At 38.6% G+C, this 7,587-nt stretch overlaps 1 pseudogene; it reads left to right on the top strand.

Moving 5' to 3' along the window:
• RPL39P27 (ribosomal protein L39 pseudogene 27) lies at nucleotides 4,646–5,030 on the top strand (annotated as a pseudogene).

The following is a 7,587-nucleotide window of genomic DNA, read 5'->3' as shown; positions in this document are numbered from 1 at the left end:
TTTGAAGTTAAATCTGATGGTATATCATTCTCCTGCTTCAAATCATTTAATGGCTTTCTATTGCTTTTAGGATAATATTCAAACTCTCTCAGATGGCTCAAAGTCCTTTATGCTCCAAGCCTTGCCTACATCCCCAAATAAATTTTGTTGCTCTCTCCTCATTCTCTATTCCAGCCACCCAGCCTTTTCCAATTTCTTTCACATGTCATGTTTCTTCACAGTTCAGGTCCTTTTCACAAGCTGTTTCCCTGAACACACTCCACAGTCCCCCGTCAGAAAATATCTAGTCGTTTTAGGGTACAGCTCAGACACTACTTCCTCAATGCAATTTTCATGTATCTCCAGGTTAGGTCACACCCCCTCACGTAAACACATTCATTGTCCATGTACATCTCTTCTATCACATTTCTCTCAATTGTAAGTATACGATCATTAAGGTAATGAAGGTTTAATATCTGATCCTACCAGTTAGAATGTAAGCTCCATAAGGGCTGGGATGATATCTGCTCCATTCACCTCTGTCCTGACGTAGCCCTGTCCCTGGTACAAATAACACATGCAGTTTTTCCCCCAATAAATTAATAAATTTGGTGAGTGACCAGGAAAAGAGGAATGATAAATTTGATTTTAGATAGGTTGAATCTAAAATAATGACAAGGCAGCATGTTAGAATATTTAAAATAGACATTTGGAAATATGGGACCATCAAGGTGAATACAGTCTAATATTCCATGGGACTATCGTCTTTCAAAACGAAGACCAAATATCAAAAATATTTTACTTCCCCAAATGACAAGTGATTTCCACTTAGGGGTTGAGAGTTGATGAAATTAGGGGCCCATTCAGGAAGTCTTTCCTGTCTGGACACCTGGTGTTTTACTAACAAACTTGACCCAAACTGGAGTGCCAACCGTGGGCCAAAAAAAAGGGGGGGGGGAGGGGAATGTTGCATACAGAAACCTGAAGTAATTTTAGTTTTATTTACACAGGTTGTTCCGCTTAGAAAGCTGAAGTCAAATTTAGAGATTCAAACAACTCGTATAATGGGTACATTTTCTACCATCCTTTTCCTTGGTAAACAGCATTTAGAGACAGTGAAAACAGCATGTCTTTCTAAGAAGAGCCCAATGTTCCATGTCTTTTGCAACATTCTCTCTACTCCACACCCACTCTCTGCTCAACATAAAGGTTTTGCTTGTTTGGGGTTATTCTGAGCTTAAGGAGCACTTCTCAAGAGAGTAGTCTAAAGGGCGTTTTTGTATTTTCCTTCCTGAGGTGTGTGCAGGAGGCAAGAAAAAAATAACGACCACAGCTATCCTATTCAAAACAGTCCATGAATCATTTTTCTTCTTAGTATTTTTCTTCTTAATATTTAACAGAACCATGAGTGGCTAAAGTCCTAGAAACTTCAGGTACTTCAGTTCTTTAATAAAAATAAATGAGACTCTTGTTTTCAAAACACAATGTTCATTGTAAAATATAGATATTTGGCTAATGTTTAAAAATATCATAGGTTCCAACTTAAAGGAAGAAATGATGGAGAGGAGGAAAAGGTTGTGCTTGAGCTTTATTCCAAAGTTCAATCAAACCCTTACTAAATCAGTAGTTTACGTTGTCAGCAGCAAAAGAAGAAACCTCAGGACAAGCAGAGAAAAGCAAGTGAGAAACACCCAGAAGAGAATAGTTGAGCTGAGAGGACAAGAAAGGGACGATGTGAGGCCTTCCTTGAAGATGAGTTTGGACTTCAACATTGTTTCATAGCTTATTCTTCAAGAATTTTTTCCATTCACAGGATACATGTGTTGCCTACTGCATTTCAAGGGTCATCAGGAGAATAAAGACTTAACCGAGTCGAGAAATAGGCGAGTTGCTCCGTCACTTGTCTACTTGCTGAAACTCCTTCTTTCTTCCCCTTTCCTGACATTTTTGCTGGGCAAGGAAAAGGAAGAGTTCCCAGGTAGCTGAAGATTGGACTATCACCCTAAATACATCATGGATATGCACAGCCTAAAGGTTTAGAAATAGAAGGAAGGTAGGAAATACCATGCTAACCAGGCCCATATAGGACAAGGGATCCTCTGCAGTCGGATGATTTTTTTTTTTTTTTTGAGACGGAATCTCGCTCTGTTGCCCACGCTGGAGTGCAATGGCGCGATCTCGGCTCACTGCAACCTCCACCTCCTGGGTTCAAGCCAGTCTCCTGCCTCAGCCTCCCAAGTAGCTGGGATTACAGGTGCCCACCACCACACTGGGCTAATTTTTTGTATTTTTAGTAGAGACAGGGTTTCACTATTTTGGCCATGCTAGTCTCGAACCCCTGACCTCGTGATCCGCCTCCCAAAGTGCTGGGATTACAGGCAGGAGCCACAGCGCCCAGCCAGTCTGATGATTTCTTTTTTCTTCTTTTTTTTTTCTTGAGACAGAGTCTCACTCTGTCACCCAGGTTGGAGTGCAGTGGAGTGATCTTGGCTCACTGCAACCTCTGCCTCCTGGATTCATGCGATTCTCTGCGTCTCAGCCACACAAGTAGCTGGGATTACAAGCGTGTGCCACAATGCCCGACTAATTTTTGTATTTTTGGTAGAGATAGGGTTTTGCCATGTTGTCCATGCTGGTCTTGAACTCCTGGCCTCAAGTGATCTGCCTGCCTTGGCCTCCCAAAGCGCTGGGATTACAAGCTGAGCCACCGCGCCAGCCTGCAGTCTGATTTTTTAGTGCATTAGGATTGGTGCTTCATTTTTCTATACACTCCCCTAGTCTGCTCATTAATGTGTAAAATTTCAGGCTTATAAAGCAAATTTTGTAAAAGAAAATGCATATTTGGCTAAATATGTAAAGTTCTATAAATGATTGTTCCTATAGTTTTTTTTTTGTTTTGTTGTTTTTTTTTTGTTTTTTTTTTTTTTTTTTTTCAGAAAATAAATTTAGCAAATTTATGAGGACGGAGGAAAAAGGAGTGAAGGGAGATTTATGAAGGGCCTAGAGAAAGAGCCTAGAAAAGTCAGTCTAGGAGCACAGAAGACCAACCCAAACTTTGACTGAAATTAGACTTAAGGCTGGCTCTGAAGTATTTGTTAAATCCTCTGTTTTTTGTCTCTGCTATTGAATCCAAAGATGGGTAGTACAAAAATGTGACTATTCTCTAAGAATAAGTCAGTGTTAACTGGTAAGCAATAATACCTTATTTACACATAACTGAGATTACAATGTCTAGCTAGGCAGTACGGTAACTACCATACGGGGAAGTGGCCTTCAATGGAACCTGCAACTCCAGCCCTAGTCCCCATAACAGATAAAATTTCTCCAGGTCTCACACATTAAAATAATGCTCAAGGGTAATTTGGGAGTATATCGTGTATCATATGCATACTCACATGTATCATATACATACAGTATGATTCGTAAATTGCACACATCCTACAGAAATTATATGAGCATGTAAAGCTATGTATATAAGAATTTTTCATTGCAGTAGTTCATAAGAGTAAAAATTCGGAACATCATTGTATTCATTTCCTGGAGCTGCTTCTGTAACAAAGTACCACAAACTGGGTGACTTTAAGCCACAGAAATGTATGGTCTCAGAGTTCTGGAAGCTAGATGTCCAAAATCAAGGTGTCTGCAGGGCCATGCTTCCTCTGAAAGCTGAAGGAGAAGCCTTCCTTGCCTCTTCCTAGTTTCTGTGGTTGCCAGCAATCAATCTTTGTGTTCCTTGGCTTGTAGATGCATCACTCCAATCTTCATAGTCTTCCCTGTGTGCATGTCTGTCTCTGTGTCTTTACAGGTCATTAGTCATATTGGATTAGGTCCCACCCTAACGATCTTATTTTAACTTGATCACTTTATAAAGTTCCTATTTCCAAACAAGATCACATTCCTTGGTAGAGGGGATTATGACTTCAACATAGCTTTTTGTGAAGGACACAATTCAACTCATAACAAACGTGGAAGCCTATCAATAGGGAAAACAAATTCTATATTTCTGCAACAGACCACTCTGTAGTCATTAAAAAAAGAGAGAGAGAGAGAGAGAAGTACTAGGTGCACTGACCTACAAAGCTGTCTTGGACATATTATTACTGCATATTATCTAATGCATAAAATATGTGCGGATATAGTCTATTTATGTGTTAATTGACTGTTCATGTTATTGGTAAGGCTTCCTGTCAATAGTAGGTGATTAGTGTTAAGTTTCGTGGTAGTCAGAAGTTATATGCAGGTTTTCAACTGTCTCCTAACCCTTGCATTATTCATGGGTCATCCACATAGAAACAGAACAGATTAGTAATTGTTAGGAGATGGTGAGAAGTGGATGTGGCTGTAAAGGGGCAGTATGAGGAATTTTTGTGGTCTTGGAAATGTTCTTGACTATATCAGTGTCAACACCCTGGTTGTGATTTTGTGCTATAATTTTGTAAGATGCTACTAGTGGAGAAACCTGGTTAAGGGTACATGGGATCTCTATGTATTATTTTTTACAACTGGATGTGAATCGACGTTTAACTCCAAATAAAATGTAATTTTTTAAAAAGTGTGTGCACCAAAATCTCAGAAATCACCACTAAAGAACTTATCTGTGTAACCAAAAACCACTTGTACCCAAAAAACTATTGCAATAAAAATAAAAATTAAAAAAAAATTAGCTCTCTTTTTTTCTCTGACATGATGGTTTGTGCTTGACTCCACTTATCACCATGTCTTCTCACAAGACTTTCAGGATTAAGCATTTCCTGGCCAAGAAACAAAAGCAAAATCGTCCCATTCCCCAGTGGATTCGGATGAAAACTGGTAATACAATCAGGTACAACTCCAAAAGGAGACAATGGAGAAGAACCAAGCTGGGGCTGTAAGGAATTGCACGTGAGATAGCGTCAAGGTCACAACCATCTTACCATATCAAGCTGAAAATGTCACCACTATCTGGACAGTTGTACATGTTTTATTGGGACTATTTTTTTTCTCTGTGTATTTGCTGCATCTGTAGTGGTAGGTTAGATTCAGTAATGAATATGTGAGACCTTTCCTTTCAAAAACAAAAAAAAAAATTTAAGTGAAATTAAAACATAAGCGGACCCGTGTGGTTCAAATCCGTGTTGTTCAAGTGTCAACTGTAATTTGTCATTTCAAGAATGTTATATAAATGGAACCATATGGTATTTAACCTTTTGAAATTTCCTTTTTTCACTCACATAATTCTCTGGAGATTCACCCACGGTGTTGCATGTGTCAGTAGTTCATTGCTTTTGATTGCTGAGTAGTATTCCATGGTATGGATATATCACAGTATATTTAACTAATCACCTGTGAAAGGGCCACCTAAGAGTTGCTTCCAGTTTTTGCTATTACAAATAAAACTACCATAAACATTCATGTGTAGGTTTTTGTGTGAACATAAGCCTTGTTCATAAGAAATGGCTAAACATAAGCAATGACTGGGTTGTATGACAGTTATTTAATTTTTAAGAAACTCCCATACAGGTTTCCAGAGTAACCATACTATTTTACATTCAAAATAGAAATATGTGAATAATCCAGTTACTCTGCATTTTCTCCAGCATTTGGTGTTGTCTATTTTAATTCTAGCCATTCTGATAATTATGTAATGGTATCACATTGTCGTTTTAATTTGCATTTAATTTGCAAATATTTCTCACACTCTGAAACTTTCCATCTTATCCTCTTATTAGGAACTTTTGCAAAACAAAAATGTTTAATTTTGATGTGATCTAATTTATCAATTTTCTTTTTATGGATCATGCTTTTGGTGTCAAGTCTAAGAACTATTTGCCTAGCTCTAGATCCCAAATATTTTCTCCTATAATTTTTTTTCTAAAAGTGTTATAGCTTTACATTTTACATTTAATTCCATGATCCATTTTGTGTTAATTTTTGCATAAGGTAGGACTTAGGCCGGCCAGGCACGGTGGCTCATGCCTGTAATCCCAGCACTTTGAGAGGCCGAGGCCGGTGGATCACAAGGTCAGGAGATCAGGACCATCCTGGCTAACACGGTGAAACCCCATCTCTACTAAAAATAAAAAATAAATAAAAAAAATAAAAAATTAGCCGGGCGTAGTGGCGGGAGCCCGTAGTCCCAGCTACTCAGGAGGCTGAGGCAGGAGAATGGCGTGAACCCGGGAGGCAGAGTTTGCAGTGAGTGGAGATCGTGCCACTGCGCTCCGGCCTGGGCGACAGAGCGAGACTCCCTCCATCTCAAAAAAAAAAAAAAAAGACTTAGGCCAAAGGTATTTTTTCTTTTTTTTTTTTATCCTTTCTTTTCGTGGTTTTTTTTTTTTTTTTCCATAGATGTCCAATTGCTCCAGCACCACTTGTTGAAAAGACTATTTTTTCTTTATTGAATTGATTTTGCACCTTTATCAAGTCAGTTGGGTGTATTTGTAAGGGGCAATTTCTGGGTTCTCTATTCTGTTCCTGAGGTCTGTCTGTTTCTCCCTTCGACAACACCATGCATTCTTGATTACTATAGCTATAAAATCAGTCTTGAAATTAAGCAGACTGATTTCTCTTTTTCGAATTCATTTTAATCCATTCTTATGTATTTGCCTCTTCATAAAAATTTTGAAATAATCTTATACATATCTGCAAAAATCCTTCTAGGAATTCTTACAGAGACTGACCTGCAGCTGGGCATGGTGGCTTGCACCTGTAATCCCAGAACTTTGGGAGGCCAAGGGGGTGGATCACTTGAGGCCAGGAGTTCGAGACCAGCCTGACCAACATGGAGAAACCCCTTCTCTACTAAAAATACAAAAATTAACCAGGTATGGTGGCACATGCCTCTAATCCCAGCTACTCAGGAGGCTGAGGCAGGAGAAGCACTTGAAGCCAGGGGGCAGAGGTTGCAGTAAACTGAGATTGTGCCATTGCACTCCAGCCTGGGTGACAAAGCAAGACTCTGTCTCAAAAAAAAAAAAAATGTTTTTTAAAAAAAGAGATTGACCTGTATATCAATTGGAGAGAACTGGCTGGGCACAGTGGCTCACACCTGTAATCCCAACACTTGGGGAGGCTGAGATGGGACAATCGCTTAAGGTCAAGAGATCAAGACCAGCCTGGTCAACACAGCAAGGCCCCATCTCTATTTAAAATGTTTATATAAAATTTAAACAAATAAAAAAGAAAGAAAAGAAAAATATTGGAAAGAATTGGTATATCCTCTATATTGAATCTTCCAATCCATGATCATGGTATGTCTCTCCATTTATGTATATCTTCTTCAGTTGCTCTCATCAGCACTGTGCAGTCTTCAGCATACAAGGCCTGTACATGTTTTCTTAGATTTACACCTAAGTATTTCATTTTTTTTAGTCATTGAAAATGGTATTGTATTTTGAATTTCAATGTCCAGGAATTCACTGCTGGTATAGAAATACAATTGATTTTTTTATGTTTATTTCACATCCTGTGACCTTGCTGAACTCACTTATTAGTTTTAGGAGATTGTTTTTGTAGATTCCCTAAGACTTTATATGTGGACAATCATATCATTTGCAAATAGGGACAATTTTATTTCTTTCTTTCCAGTTTATGTACTTACTTCCTTTTCATACCTTATTGTACTATGTT

This window comes from Homo sapiens, chromosome 12, assembly GCF_000001405.40.
Source record: "Homo sapiens chromosome 12, GRCh38.p14 Primary Assembly".
NCBI lineage: Eukaryota > Metazoa > Chordata > Mammalia > Primates > Hominidae > Homo > Homo sapiens.
Note: the sequence above shows the minus strand (reverse complement) of the source record. Positions and strands in the feature narration are given on the sequence as shown.